The sequence below is a fragment of the Homo sapiens genome, chromosome 9, assembly GCF_000001405.40.
Source record: "Homo sapiens chromosome 9, GRCh38.p14 Primary Assembly".
NCBI lineage: Eukaryota > Metazoa > Chordata > Mammalia > Primates > Hominidae > Homo > Homo sapiens.
The window spans coordinates 6,662,341-6,678,631 of NC_000009.12; the positions used below are offsets into that span (position 1 = coordinate 6,662,341).

General features: G+C 44.5%; 3 pseudogenes, besides 2 other annotated features; 2 read left to right on the forward strand and 1 right to left on the reverse strand.

The window, feature by feature from the left end:
* RPS3AP54 (RPS3A pseudogene 54) lies at nt 84-1,457 on the forward strand (annotated as a pseudogene).
* Nucleotides 2,690-2,834: an enhancer, noted in NCBI's record as "145 bp enhancer 135 fragment used in the MPRA reporter construct; PK_construct_1739". NCBI's record gives its function as "activates an SV40 promoter by MPRA in HepG2 cells {active_cell/tissue: HepG2}" and the evidence as "EXISTENCE:reporter gene assay evidence [ECO:0000049][PMID:23512712]".
* Nucleotides 2,756-2,769: a transcriptional cis regulatory region, noted in NCBI's record as "HNF4 motif; enhancer activity is reduced when this motif is scrambled". NCBI's record gives its function as "necessary for full MPRA enhancer 135 activity {active_cell/tissue: HepG2}" and the evidence as "EXISTENCE:site-directed mutagenesis evidence [ECO:0005528][PMID:23512712]".
* Nucleotides 7,151-7,761, reverse strand: RNF2P1 (ring finger protein 2 pseudogene 1; annotated as a pseudogene).
* RPL35AP20 (ribosomal protein L35a pseudogene 20) lies at nt 12,875-13,322 on the forward strand (annotated as a pseudogene).

Genomic DNA, 16,291 nt, shown 5'->3' on the forward strand with positions numbered 1-16,291 from the left:
ACATAGATGGCACACCCTGCCCTCTATGCCTAAATTCTCATATGAGTTGCATTTCCACCTTTCTGGCTCTTCGAGCAGCGACTTGGTGGTTGGCAAGAACAAGCTCCTTATGAAAGGCAGCAAAAAGGGAGCCAAGAAGAAGGTATTCGATCCATCTTCTAAGAAAGACTGGTATGATGTGGAAGCACCTGCTATGTTCAGTGTAAGAAATATTGGGAAATACTAGTCAGCAGGACTCCAGAAATGAAAATTTGTCTCTGTTTGCTCAAGGGTCATTTGTTTGAAGTGAACCTTGCTGAATGATGAAGTTGCATTTAGAAAAGTCAAGCTTATTATCGAGGATGTTCAGAGCAAAAACGCCTAACTTGCATGGCATGGATCTTAGCAGTGACAAAATGTGTTCCATGGTGAAAAAAGGGCAATGATTGCAGCTCATGTTAATGTCAAGACTGCCAATGTCTTGCTTACCAAGACTACTACTGCTTGCTTTGCCTATTCTGTGTTGGTAAAAAACAACAGTCGGCCAGGCGCTGTGGCTCACACCTGTAATCCCAGCACTTTGTGAGGCTGAGACAGGCGGATCACCTGAGGTCAGGAGTTCGAGACCAGCCTGGCTAACATGGTGAAACCCTGTCTCTACTAAAAAAAAAAAAAAAAAAAAATTAGCTGGGTGTGCTGGCACATACCAGTTATCCCACCTACTTGGGAGGCTGAGGCAGGAGAATTGCTTGAACGCAGGAGGCAGAGGTTGCAGTGAGCCAAGGTTGCACCACTGCACTCCAACCTGGGCAAGAGAGCAAGACTCCGTCTCAAAAAAAAAAAAAAAACCAGTCAGATACAGAAAACCTCTTACACACATACCAACAAGTATGCCAAGGAGATGACTGAAAACATGACCTGAGAGGTGCAGAAAAGTGACTTGAAAAGGTGGTCAATAAATTGATTCCAGATAGCATTGGAAAAGACAAAGAAAAGGCTTACCAGTCTATTTATCCTCTGCCTGATGTCCTGATTAGAAAAGTGAAAATGCATGCGGGGCGCAGTGGCTCACACCTGTAATCCCAGCACTTTGGGAGGCTGAGACGGGCGGATTACCAGGTCAGGATTTTGAGACCAGCCTGACCAACATGGTGAAACCCCATCTCTACTAAAAATAGAAAAATTAGCTAGGTGTGATGGCACGCCTGTAATCCCAGCTACGCAGGAGGCTGAAGCAGGAGAATCGCTTGAACCCGGGAGGCGGACATTGCAGTGAGCTGAGATAGCACCAGTGCACTCCAGCCTGGGCGACAGGGCAAGACTCCATCTCAAAAGAAAAGCGGCCCAAGTTTGAATTGGGAAAATTCATTGAGCTTCATGGTCAAGGCAGTAGTTCTGGAAAAGCTCCTGGGGACAAGACAGGTGCTAAAGTTGAATGAGCTGATAGATATGAACCACCAATTCAAGTATCTGTTTAAAATTCAGACTTTTAATAGTGACAAAAAGTCCTATTTGTAAACAAACAAACAAACAAACAAAAACCAGTTACTTGGCCTGGCACGGTGGCTCACGCCTGTAATCCCAGCACTTTGGGAGGCCAAGGCAGGCAGATCACCTGAGGTCAGGAGTTCAAGACCAGCTTGGCCAAGATGGTGAAACCTCGTCTCTACTAAAAATACAAAAATTAGCCAGGCGTGGTGGCAAGCGTCTGTAGTCCCAGCTACTCAGGAGGCTGAGACAGGAGAATGCTTGAACCTGGGAGGCGGAGGTTGCAGTGAGCCAAGATAGTGCCACTGCCCTCCAGCCTGGGCAACAGAGTGAGACTCCGTCTAAAACAAAACAAAACAAAAAACAGTTACTTGATATTAGTAAAATGCAATGAAGACCCTTACTGCTACTTACAGGTGAATGATCAAAGGTCATTCCTGAGATGTGAGTCTAACAAATGGGAGGGTTTTGGCCACCATAATGGAAACAGGGCTGTCCGTGAAGAGTGGGTCCAGGGTGTAGGAAGCTGACTAGCTCCAGAAAGGTGAGCTTGGGGGTTGGTGGGAGCATCGAAGGGGAAGGACAGAGCAGGCCAGTTGCTCCTGTGTGGTGGAGGTCAGAGGTCAGGTTGAGGGATCTGAGCTCCAGAGCTATCTCCAGGGGTTGGGTGAGGGGAAGTGAGTTAGCATACAGTGTTCAAGCAGGCTGTTTGGGAAAGGATTCAACCACACAGATCCAACCAAACCTTGAGGGTCACCTATACTTGAGCGAGAGCAAAGCTCCTTAAGGAAGCAAAGAAGTCTTGAGAGAGAGGAGGCAGGGCAGCATAGAGTCCTGGAGACCAAAGAGGAGAAAATGTCATAAATGGGGTGGGGACACTGTGACCAGACAACCCGGTGAGGTCAGAGGGAAGGGAAACAGGAAAAGACTGCATGGAATGTGTGCGCAGGAGATCCCTGTGACCTCTGAGGTAACAATTAACCCCAGGTCAGCCCATTTGTGCAAGGCTACAGAGTGAATGACAAGGAAGGAATGCACCCGATTCCAATCACTGCTTATGATGGCCAGTGATTAAAGATGGGAGGAAATCCCACAGTGGCTCAAGGGAACAGGAACAAGTTTTCAGAATGGTCAGACTTTGCCCCCCTTGTGGCATTGGGCAAAACACTTAAGTGGGTCACCTCACTGAGGCCTTTCCCTTCCACATGGAGTTTCCTGGCTTTGCTGGCCATGGTGGTGTAATCCAGCACTGCCTGGACAGAGCTTTACACCAACAGGTATCAGAGTCAATTCCAAAGTTCACTCAGTGACCAGCTTGTGAAAAGAGCAAATAAACCATGGGTGTTTTATCTCAAATGCCATTATCTCTGCAAAAATGACCTCTGGAATAGCACATAGAACATCCTCTATGCATTTTAGAAAGTGAGTGCATTGGATATAAAGACACTGCAATGGCCAGGCACAGTGGCTGACACCTGTAATCCCACCACTTTAGGAGGCCGAGGTGGGTAGATCACCTGAGGTCAGGAGTTCGAGACCAGCCTGGCCAATATGGTGAAACCCCTGTCTCTACAAAAATACAAAAAATTAGCTGGGCATGATGGCGGGTGTCCTTAATCTCAGCTACTCAGGAGGCTGAGATGGGAGAATTGCTCGAAACCGGGAGGCAGAGGTTGCAGTGAGCCAAGATCGTGCCATTGCATTCCAGCCTGGGCGACACAGCAAGACTCCATCTCAAAAAAAAAAAAAAGATACTGCAAGAAGACGAACAACTCATCCATACATTTGAAAATATTGAAGCCCAGACACATACAGCCTTCACAAAAAATGAAGAGGAAAAAAAGCCAAGTAGAGTCAAGATGAAACATATGCATGGGAGAAAAGAAGTAATTTTCCTTTACTCATCTTAGGGTCTCCAGCTGAGTCCCTGTAAACTAGTCTGGCAAAAGACAGATTAGCATGAGTAAAGCAAACAGAAGTTCACTAACTTGTGCATCTTGCATGTATACGTGGAAACACCCATATGAGTAACCCCAAGGGCTGGTTAGAACTGGGACTGATATAACATCTCAGACTAAACAGAAGAAAAGGAGTTTTGGGTTTCTGGGAATGGGGAGGCAAGTAGTGGGGAGATGACCAGAGAAAGTATAGTAAACAATGCTTGTTTAGTAAGATTTGTTCTGCAGATTTGAGTCAGTGCCTTTCCAATGGACAAGATTTGTTAAGAGTCTTCCTCTGGCTGGGTGCGGTGGCTGACGCCTGTAATCCCAGCACTTTGGGAGGCTGAGGCGGGCAGATCACGAGGTCAGGAGATCGAGACCATCCTGGCTAACACAGTGAAACCCCGTCTCTACTAAAATACAAAAAATTAGCCGGGTGTGGTGGCGGGCGCCTGTAGTCCCAGCTACTCGGGAGCCTGAGACAGAAAAATGGCGTGAACCTGGGAGGTGGAGCTTGCAGTGAGCCGAGATCGCGCCACTGCACTCCAGCCTGGGTGACAGAGCAAGGCTCTGTCTCAAAAAAAAGAAAAGCAGCAGCTCCCAAGAAGAGGAACAGACTCAGTCAGTTTCCAAAGGTCACTCTTTCATGCCGGGTGCAGTGGCTCACGCCTGTAATCCTAGCATTTTGGGAGGCTGACACAGGCAGATCACCTGAGGTCAGGAGTTCGATACCAGCCTGGCCAACATGGTGAAACCCTGTCTCTACTAAAAATACAAAAATCAGCTGGGCGTCGTGGCACGCACCTGTCGTCCCAGCTACTCGGGAGGCTGGGGCAGGAAAATCGCTTGAACCTGGGAGGCAGAGGTTGCAGTGAGCCTAGATCATGCCATTGCAGTCCAGCCTGGGCAACAAGAGCAAAACTCCATCTCAAAAAAAATAATAATATTTGTAAGCCAGGCCCAGTGGCTCAAGCCTGTAATCCCAACACTTTGGGGAGGCCATAGCAGGCAGATAGGTTGAGCCCAGGAGTTTAAGACCAGTCTGGGCAACATGGCAAAACCCTGTCTCTATTAAAAAAAGAAAGAAAGAAAGAAAAAAAAAGCAGTTGTGACTAGATAGCCTTTTCTCAAAGGTGGTTGCCCAGCCTCCTGAGTAGCTGGGACTATAGGTGCTTGGCACCATGATGGCTATTTTTATTTTATTTTATTTTTATTATTATTATTGAAATGGAGTCTTGCTCTGTCGCCCAGGCTGGAGTGCTGTGGCGCAGTCTCGGCTCACTGCAACCTCCACCTCCAGGGTTCAAGTGATTCTCCTGCCTCAGCCTCCGGAGTAGGTGGGATTACAGGCGCCTGCCACCGCACCCGGCTACTTTTTCTATTTTTAGTAGAGATGGGGTTTCACCATGTTGGCCTCGGCCTCCCAAAGTGCTGAGATTACAGGCATGAGCCACTGCGCCCAGCCTTATTATTATATTATAATTATATAAATATTATATTTTAATTATATTAATGTTATATTAATATTACATTGTATTTATATATAATATAAATATTATATTTAACAATATAAAATATACATTAGGTATTTTATTATTTTATTATAAAATAAAAAATAGCCGGCATGGTGGCAGGCACCTGTAGTCCCAGCTACTCAGGAGCCTGAGGCAAGAGGATTGCTTGAGCCCAAAAGTTGGAGGCTGCAATGAGCTACAAGCACATGTCACTGCACTGCAGCATGGGTGAGAGTGAGACCTGTCTGTAACAACAAAAAAAAGTTTTATAGCTCCCCTCTATATGAGACGGGGGTTTGTGGACTGGAGTTTTGTTAATTTATTTACCTACCCTTTATTTTAACATATATAAAAGTGCTTAGAACAGTGAATGCCTAGTGCATGTAAATACTATCAACTCTTATTATTATTCCCCTCTTCTACCTAGTAGAATTCTTTTAGTTTCGCCCTTGGCAATCGCGTTCCCAAACAGTATCCCTCAATTGCTGTTCCAACTGAGGCACTCAGAAGGATAGCTTGTTTTTGTGTTTTGGGTGGAAGTGGGGAGAGGGGAGAAGCCTTTGGTCTGATACAGGAAATCCCACCTGAATGCTGCCATCTAATGGTCACATTAAAAAATTAGATGCGCCCTAACAAACTAATCTAGTGTTTTCCCTCAGCAAAGAGCATTTTTTTTTAATACTTGAAGACTGTATTTTACTACCAATTTAATTTTTCTTTCTTCAGCAAAATCTGTTCATGAACCAAGTTCTCATGGAACTTAAGATTTTGTTTGATTCTTTCCAGGACCAGAAATTCCAAAATTATGCGGGAAAAATGGAAAAAAAAAATAACACTGCATGACAATGGACACTAAGTTCATAAAGAACTTCTTTTTAAAATGAGATATTATGAAAGAAATACCATGAAAAGAATAATCCTATGAGAACTGTTTTTAAGGACAGTAAATTTGAGCCTTGGGTCTTCATGATGGTACCACAGTTTATATAGAAAACTATGAATATACAAGACTCCAGGGGAAAAAAAGTCGGAATACATAATATTTAACATTGTGTATGACTAAAAATCTTTTGAGGGGAGCGGGAAAAGGACAGCCAACTGAATCTTTAAGAATACAGAAACTATGAAAAATTCCTGGGTCAAAGGGTGCTCCAAGTGGAACCACACTTTGTGGGGGGAAAAAACCCACAAGAAACTTCAGGTATTTTTTTTAAAGAAAAGAAAACAGTACTGAATAATTGCAGTCCCTTCCAAAAAGGAAATCTTAAGTTAAGGGGAAAAGATTTGAATAGCGTAAACGAGTCTGGCTCAGAAAGAAAACTGAACAACATATCCAAGATCTGTCCATAAAAGTAATGCCAGTCATCTTTATTTTTATTTATTTATTTATTTATTTATTTTGAGACGGAGTCTCGCTCTGTCACCCAGGCTGGAGTGCAGTAGCGCGATCTCAGCTCACTGCAAGCTCCGCCTCCCGTGTTCACGCCATTCTCCTGCCTCAGCCTCCCGAGTAGCTGGGACTACAGGTGCCTGCCAATGTGCCCGGCTAATTTTTTGTATTTTTAGTAGAGACGGGGTTTCACGGTGGTCTCGATCTCTTGACCTTGTGATCCGCCCGCCTCGGCCTCCCAAAGTGCTGGGATTACAGGCGTGAGCCACCGCGCCCGGCTGGTACATCTTTAATATTAAAGAAATGCACTATAAAAAAGTTCAGTCTCAGAATTGGTTTTTAAAAGCTCATTTGTGCTCCCTTGTATGTGCATAGTAAAGTTCCATGGGTTTGTTCACTTTCTAGTATTTCTCACTGACCAATTCCAAAGAAAAAGAGCAATTTAATACAGTGAACTGGCCACTGGCTGTTGCTATATAAGTGGTATACTGCTTCTCACTGGCTGTATCAAGGCTCATCTGGTTTGATTCACCTTTGCTTCGAAGTTCTTCTAAAGCTAACCTCACAGCCAGATACTTGGATAAGTAATCAACAGTGGTGTTACCAGAAGTCTTTATGTATCTTGTCTGTGCACTGTCATCTTTTTCCATAAGTGTGGGATGAGGCCTGAATATAATTCGATTTCACTAGCGCCATCCATTACTGGATCAATTTCCATTGCTGCATTGTTATTATCAAGCTCAAGCCCAGAATCATCAGTTGTTTTGGTTCATTTGTTACTAGGGCCTGCTTCATGATTGCTATGTGTGGAGGCATTACTACCGTGTGAACTGTCACCGTTATCTTCTGCTCCACTACCATTTTCAATCTATTGTTTCTTGCCTCGCTGCAGTTATCTTCAGTCCTTCTTCAATGCTGTGACTGAGTGCTTGCTGATTATTGTGCTTGCTGATCCTGACTAATACTCTCTCTTGATGAGCTTCATATTCATCACGACTTGGATAAATTTTGCTGATGAGTGCATCAAACTTTGGGTCTGGCCTTGGTGATCTTTTGGAAACTAGTTTTTTCCAACAGGTAAGACATTCTTTGTTGCCACTTCTAAGGGCTATGATGTTGCAGTCTGCACAGAAACGATGTAAAGACTCCTTTGTAGTCATGGTGTTCTTCAACATATCCAAACAAATTGGGCACATTAAATCACTGTGCAGACTTCGAGGTGAAACCACAATTTCTAAGCCATCTGTTATTGCCTTCTGTAAGAGAGTCACTGAGGTGTTCATTGTAACTCATATAAACTGAGTTCCCATGTTTTGCTTAATGGTTGAGTTCCTTTTGTCTGCACAGCCTGAGACATTGAGGCTCCCACCCCAGCCAGGGGCTCACTGGCCATGCAGGAGCGAGACTCGGGTAATCGGCTGCCGCGGCAGCTGGCACCGCCTTACAATATAGCGAGCCGCAAAGAGCATTTTAACACAAGCCTCCAGGGTTCCCGGACACCCCACTCTGTCCCCACGGATACCAAAATCTGCGCGTATCCGCGCATGTTCAAGTCCCTAATATATTCTGGTGCATATACTATGGTGTCAAATTTGTATGTAACCTATGTACATCCTTCCAAATATTCTAAATCTCTAGGTTATTTATAATACCTTAATACAATGTAAGTGCTATTTAAATGGTTGTTATACTGTGTTTTTTATTTGTATAATTTTTATTGTTGTATTATTGCTTTTTATTATTTGTTTTTTTCTGAACATTTTTGATCTGCAGTTGGTTGGATCTAGGATGTAAACTGCAAGTGTGGCAGGCCGACTGCACTGTTTTGTTACTAGAGGGAGTGAGAACACACCTGTGGACTTGAGCACCTTCCATTCACCAGTTGCTCCATGGGCATACTCTAATTCAGGTCTCCCCACAACCCTCTGAGTTAATATTTCTCTCCCCATTTTAAAGATGAGAAAATAAAGCCTAGACAGTTTAACTTGGCTTCTGTTTTGAAACTAGCTGAGAGATGAATTAGGCTTTGATCCATGTCTATCAGCTTCAACCTTCATGCTTTTTCTTCTGTACCCCAGTGCCTGTTAAATTTTGGAAATCCCAGAAACAGCCCACAAACTTGGGTTAATCTTAGAGATTTTGACAATGTCCTTTGAGAACCAGTGCACTACAGAAACACAAAACCCTTTGCATATTGTCATTGAATAAATTGTACCATTGAGACCTGAACCAAGAGTTTTAGATATGTAAGTTAGAAACAGTAGATACTAGGTGTAGTCGGTGCAAAAGTAATTGTGGTTTTTGACATTGAAAGTAGTGGCAGCTGGGTGCAGTGGCTCACGCCTGTAATCCCAGCACTTTGGGAGGCCGAGGTGGGCGGATCATCTGAGGTCGAGTTCGAGACCAGCCTGACCAACATGGAGAAACCCCCTCTCTACTAAAAATACAAAATTAGCTGGGCGTGGTGGCAGATGCCTGTAATCCCATCTACACGGGAGGCTGAGGCAGGAGAATCACTTGAACCAGGGAGGCAGCGGTTGCAGTGAGCGGAGATCGCACCACTGCACTCCAGCCTGACAACAGAGCGCGACTTTGTCTCAAAAAAAAAAAAATTTTAGCCAGGCGTGGTGGCAGGCGCCTATAATTCCAGCTACTTGGGAGGCTGAGGCAGGAGAATCTCTCGAACCCGGGAGACTGAGGTTATAGTGAGCTGAGATTGCACCACTGCACTCCAGCCTGGGTGACAAGAGCAAAACTCCATCTCAAAACAAAAACAAAAACAAACAAACAAAAAAATCTAATTTTAAAATAAGCTTGCTCTCAATGGTATTTTTTTTAAGTGGTAAAGAAAAGGAAACTAAAAAAATAACAAAAATCTCGAAGCTCCAGTCAATCTAAAGTCCAATAACCTCTCTCTCTGTTTTTTTTTTTTTTTTTGAAACAGGGCTTTGCTTTGTTGCCCAGGCTGGAGTACAGCAATGCAATTCTGGCTCACCACAACCTCTGCCTCCAGGGCTCAAGCAACCCTCCTACCTCAGTCTCTGGAGTAGCTGGGACTACAGGCACACACCACCACACCTGGATAATTTTTGTTTTTGAGACGGAGTCTCACTCTGTCGTCCAGGCTGGAGTGCAGTGGTGCGATCTTGGCTCACCTCTGCCTCCCAAGTTCTGCCTCAGCCTCCAGAGTAGCTGGGATTACAGGCATGCACCATTACGCCTGGCTAATTTTTGTATTTTGAGTAGAGATGGGGTTTCACCATGTTGGCCAGGTTGGTCTTGAACTCCTGAGCTCAAGTGATCTGCCCACCTTGGCCTCCCAAAGTGCTAGGATTACAGGCGTGAGCCACCACTCTGGGCCATATGTTATCATCTTTTATTTAACCAGACTCAATATGGACATGTAGTTTATTTCAGATTTTTACCAATACAAGATAATGCAGGAATAAACAGCTGCATACATAAACCTAACACATATTTCTGTGTTCACATTCAGAGAAAAACAGCAGTGAAACAAAAAGTGGCTTTAATCAAAACGGTCTTGAAGAAAACCAAGCATACAGGAAAAGACTTAAGAGAAAAATAACAAATAATCAAGCAGACTAAGCAGGGCCAGACTTAGGTGGTGGGAGGTGGAGTTTGCAGTGAGCCAATATCACGCCACTGCACTCCAGCCTGAGTGACAGAGCGAGACTCTGTGTCAGAAAAAAAAGTAGACTAAGCAGTAAAGTTGCCCAATAATTAATCCTCTTGCCCTAAATGTTCCAATTAAAGTTACATTGACAGAAATTGTTTTCTCAGAGACTGGGCTCTGGCTCTTCCTGTGTGCCATCATGGCAAAGTTGGAAGGAATCAGGATGTAATACAAGAATGGCAAGCTCTCTTACTCTGTTTTGTGTTGTTATAACAGAATGCCACCGACTGGTAATTTATTTTAAAAAGAAATTTATTTATCACAGTTCTGGAGGCTGGAAAGTTTAATATCAAGGTGCCAGAATTTCGTGAGGGCCTTGTTGGATGGGCAAGAGATGGGAAGAGGAAGCGGTCTCAACTCTTTCTTTTTTTTTTTTGAGATGGAGTGTCTCTCTGTTGCCCAGGCTGGAGTGCAGAGGCACAATCTCGGCTCACTGCAACCTCTTCTTCCCGAGTTCAAGCAATTCTCCTGTCTCAGCCTCCCTAGTAGCTGGGACTACAGGCACATGCCACCATGCCTGGCTCTTTTGTATCTTCAGTAGAGACAGAGGTTTCACCATATTGGTCAGGCTGGTCTCGATCTCATGACCTCAGGTGATCCACCCGCCTCAGCCTCCCAAAGTACTGGGATTATAGGCATGAGCCACTGCGCCCAGCCCCAACTCATTTTTTTTTATCAGAAACCCACCTCCATGATAACTAACCCACTCCAGAGATAATGGCATCAATCCATTCATGAGAGTACAGCCCTCATGACATAATCACCTCTTATAGGCCCCAATTCTCAACACTGCCGGGCAAAGGAAATGATCAGAAATCCAAGTAATGTTTCCAGACAGGCTCGCAAATCTTAGGCAGAGCTAAGATTGAGGTGAAGCAGAGAGGCTAAACTAGACACGGTAGCCTGTAAAGTCTGGGCTGTGCAGTTGGGTAGATCAGCGTTGGAGTCTCAGATCTGCCAATTATAGGAATTATTAACTTGGGCCAGACATTTAAACTCCTTGACCTTCATTTTTCCACATTTCCTCATCTTAAAATGCAGAATGATAATGAATCTTCCTCAAAGTTGTTAGAAGGATTAAATGTGATATGGGATAGCTTCCATGCAGAGTAAAGTGGACGGCATGGAGTGGGTGTTCAGTAACTGACAGCTATTAACAGGAAACACAGTTTTATCTAATTAGGGTAGAAGAGGCACTGTGGTTTGGCCTCAGAGGCTGAAACTAGATAGACCTCAATCCCAAAGCTCACAAAGGGGATGCAGGTGACAGTGGTGAGGGTCAGACCATGGGAAGCTAGGTCTCAGAAACCAGGGTGACCCATGAGGCCCATGAAGGGTGAGGGGACACAGGGGAGCACAGCCATGAGTTGAGTCCAAAAAGTAGGTCCTCAACAGAAACTCCTCTAATTCCTTTGATTCCACCAAAAAGCCCCTAGACCTGTACAGCTTTTACTTAGCTCCTTTTGTAGGCATTTCCCTCTCTCATCCAACTATGTTTGCCTAGGTTATGTTTCATGTTGACCAAACTTTCAATGTTTACTTTCTGCTTCCTGAATAGTATAGTCTTATTCCAGAAAGAGAATATAAGTCTTTTGTTTTCCTGGGAGGAGTGAGAGGAATCTAAATTCCTTCAGAAAAATATGGCAGCTCTCTTGATCATCTCATCATATCAAATTTATCCCCACACTCCCAGGATCCTACCTTTTCATTTACTTTATTTTATTTTTAAGACGGAGTTTCGCTCTTGTCGCCCGGGCTGGAGTGCAATGACACGATCTTGGCTCACTGCAATCTCTGCCTCCCGGGTTCAAGCGATTCTCCTGCCTTAGCCTCCCAAGTAGCTGGGACTACAGGCATGCGCCACCATGCCCAGCTAATTTTTATATTTTTAGTAGAGATGGGGTTTCACCATCTTGACCAGGCTGATCTCGAACTCCTGACCTCGTGATCCACCCGCCTCATGATCCACCCGCCTCGGCCTCCCAAAGTGCTGGGATTACAGGGGTGAGCCACTGCGCCTGGCCTACTTTATTTTATTTTGAAATAGGGTCTCCTTCCATCACCCAGGCTGGAGTGCAGTGGCACAATCATGGCTCACTGCAGCCTCAACCTCCCATGCTGAAGTGATCCTCCCACCTCAGCCTTCTGGGTAGCTGGGACTGCAGGCACACACCACCACGCCTGGCTAATATTTTTTATTTTATTTTTTGTAGAGACAGGGTCTCCCTATGTTGCGCAGCCTAGTCTCAAACTCATGGACTCAGGCAATCTTCCCACCTCAGCCTCCCCAGCTGTTAGGATTACAGTCATGAGCCACCACACCCAGCCTGATGCTACCTTTTAAATGCTTTGTGAATCTATACACTTCTTTAGACTTCACTATCATCACTATTATTCAAAATGCCTTCATCTTTTGCTAGACTCTCTGTCATCTCACTGGAGTCTTCATTTCCACTTGTGCCCATGCCCATTCTCCATTTTCAGCTAAGTAATACTGCATTATAAAACCCAACATTTGGCCGGGCATAGTGGCTCACACCTGTAATCCCAGCACTTTGGGAAGCCGAGGCGGGTGGATCACTTGAGGTCAGGAGTTCGAGACCAGCCTGATCAACGTGGAGAAACCCCGCTTCTACTAAAAATACAAAATTAGCCTGGCATGGTGGCACATGACTGTAATCCCAGCTACTTGGGAGGCTGAAGCAGGAGAATCGCTTGAACCCAGGAGGAGGAGGTTGCAGTGAGCCAAGACCGCACCAATGTACTCCAGTCTGGGCAACAAGAGCGAAACTCCATCTCAAACAAAACAAAACAAACAAAAAAACATAATTTGAGCACATCTCCCCCTGGCTTAAAAAATTTCTAATAATTCTGTTCCCACCATCTTGGTTCCTGTGGAGGCCTGCTGGGAATAGGAACAGGACTTCTAAAAGGAACTATGTCTGGAGAGCTGTGGTCCAAGGCCATTTTTGCCAGCTATAAGCAGGGTCTCCGGAACCAAAGGGAGTAGACTGCTCTTCTTAAAATTGAAGATGTTTATGCCCATGATGAAACAGAAGTCTATTTGGGCAAGAGATGCGCTTATGTACACAAAGCAAAGAACAACACAGTGACATCTGGCAGCAAACCAAAAAAACCAGAGTAATCTGGGTAAAGGTAACTTGGGCCCACGGAAACAGTGGCCTGATTCGTGGCAAATTCTGAAGCAATCTTCCTGCTAAGGCTATTGGACACAGATCTGAGTGATGCTGGACCCCTCAAGGATTTAAACTAATGAAAAGTCAATAAATAAATGTGGATTTGTGCTCTTGTATTTTATTTTTTTTTTTTGAGATGGAGTCTCACTCTGTCACCCAGGCTGGAGTGCAGTAGTGTGATCTCAGCTCACTGCAACCTCTGCCTCCCGGATTCAAGCAATTCTCCTGCCTCAACCTCCCGAGTAGCTGGGATTACAGGCGCGCGCCACCATGCCTGGCTAATTTTTTTTGTATTTTTAGTAGAGACGTTGTTTCACCATGCTGGTCAGGCTGGTCTCGAACTCCTGACCTCGTGATCCACCTGCCTCGGCCTCACAAAGTGCTGGGATTATAGGCACAAGCTACCACACTTGGCCTGTGCTCTTGTATTTTTAAGTGTATTAAAAAACTTACTACCTTAAAAAAAATTTCTAATTGTTCTATTATCAGGATGATGTCGCAATTCTTTTTCTTTTTCCTTTTTTTTTTTTTGAGAGGGAGTCTCGCTCTGTCGCCCAGGCTGGAGTGCAGTGGTGCGATCTCAGCTCACTGTAACCTCTGCCTCCTGGGTTCAAGCAACTTTCCTGTCTCAGCCTCCTGAGTAGCTGGGACTACAGGCGTGAGCCACCATGCCTGGCTAATTTTTTTGTACTTTTAGTAGAGACAGGGTTTCACCATATTGGTCAGGCTAGTCTCGGACTCCTGACCTCAGGTGAACCACCCACCTGGCCCTCCCAAAGTGCTGGGATTACAGGCATCAGCCACTGTGCCCGGCCAATGTCACAATTCTTTAACATTGCCCACAAAGTCCTATATGATGTGGCCAGACTCATCTTGGCAACTCTCCTCTTTGCTCAGAATGCTGCAACAGCACCAACCTTTTTCCAATTCCTGTAAGTTTTCGAGCTCTGTTCAATCTCAGGACCTTTGCACATTACATTCCCTCTGCCCACAAGGCTCACTTCACAACTTTTCACCTAGCCAGTTCCTCCTTCAGTTCTCTCACTAATTTGTAACTTATTCATTGAAACCTACCCAAATCTTCCAAATTAGGTTATGTCTTTCTGTTTTACACTTTTATAACACCCTGTACTTTGTCACAGCTGCACTTATGACAATTCTAATTAAATAACAGTTGCTTGGCCATGTGTGGTGGCTCATGCCTATCACTTTAGGAGGCCCGGGTGGGTCACTTGAGCCCAGGAGGTCAAGGGTGCAGTGAGCCATGACTGGCACCACTGCACTCCAGACGGAGCAACAGAACCATACCCTTTCTTAAAAAGAAAAAGATAGGTTGCTTCATTATTCTCGAAAATCTAGCTCTTTAATTGACTTCATTATTCTTCATTATTATTCACTAATTATTGACTTCATTATTCTTCACTGTTCTTTAATTGGCTTCATTATTCTCGAAAATCTAGCTCTTTAATTGCTTCATAAGTCCAAGAACTTACGTTCAAAGGTATAAATCAAGCGCACAGCACAGTTTAAGGCACATAGTGGGGACCTGGTAAATAATGAATGTCCATAATTACCCATATTGCATAGTCAATCATATCTATGTGTATATGCACATGTGAACACTAAAAGATACAAAACTAGAACAAAAAAAATTAGCTGATTTCCTGCATTCTCCCTGGAAGTTGGGGGTTGTTCTTTGCCTACTTAGCTAGTGGGAGAGGGACCCAACAGCTAAGAGACTAATTACAGTAAATCTTCTCCAAGTCTGACCCTGAAAAAAACGGCCTATCCATATAAAAAGAACTTGTCAACTAAAAAGGATAAGGAAAATCAGTCTGACTTTGGCTATCTCCCTATCAAAATTCAATTACCAACATGGTGAAACCCTGACTCTATTAAAAATTCAAAAATAAGCTGGGCATGGCGGCATGCGCCTGTAATTCCAGCTATTTAGGAGGCTGAGGCAGGAAAATCGCTTGAACCAGAGAGGCGGAGGTTGCAGTGAGCTGAGATTGCGCCACTGTCCTCCAGCCTGGGCCACAGAGCAAGACTCCATCTCAAAAAAAAAAAAAAAAAAAAGATACAGGAACTTAGCCTTCAGTAATGTATCTTCAGATATAAAATAAACAGACTGAAGAAAATGAATGAAATGTCAAACATCTATTTCCAGTTATGATGGGCTGGTTTATTCAACCAATGTGCCCATTGATAATAACTAAAGGTGCTGAACAGGCCGGGCACAATGGCTCGTGCCTGTAATCCGAGCACTTTGGGAGGCCAAGGCTGGCGGATCACCTGAGGTCAGGAATTTAGGACTAGCCTAGCCAACACGGTGAAACCTCATGTCTACTGAAGATACAAAACTTAGCCAGGCGTGGTGGTGGGCACCTATAATCCCAGCTACTCGGGACACAGAGGCAGCATAATCACTTGAACCTGGGAGGCAGAGGTTGCAGTGAGCTGAGATTGCGCCACTGCACTCCAGACTGTGTGAGAGAGTGAGATTCCATCTCAAAACAAAACAAAACAAAAGAATAAAATAAAATAAAGAGACTGAATAAAATATAAGGCACATTTCCCAAAACATCGAGTTGCTGATAAGATAGTAAGAAATTATTAGGATAAAAGCTAAGAGAAGGTGAGAACCCAGAGAAGCAAATGGAACAGAGAAGCACAAAAGCTATTCTTGCCCTGAGGATATTTGCTAGTCAGGCAACATCTAGTTCTGTTTTTAGTAGCCTCACAGGGCATGGAAACAGCATCCAACGTCTAGGGCTTTCCATGGTAAAAATGCTACTAGGTGACCCTTCCCATATTAAGTTGGGACACCATAGGCTATGCCCTAAGAGTGAAGGTGGACCAGCATCTCAGAACATTGGGAAAGGTTGCTTTTGCATTGACTATAATGGGAGTGGGGAGGAGGCAAAGCAAAATTTTTAAAATCCCATCTTTGGCCGGGTGCGGTGGCTCATGCCTGTAATCCCAGCACTTTAGGAGGCCGAGGTGGGCGGATCATGAGGTCAGGAGTTCAAGACCAGCCTGGCCAACTAGTGAAACCCCATCTCTACTAAAAATACAAAAATTAGCTG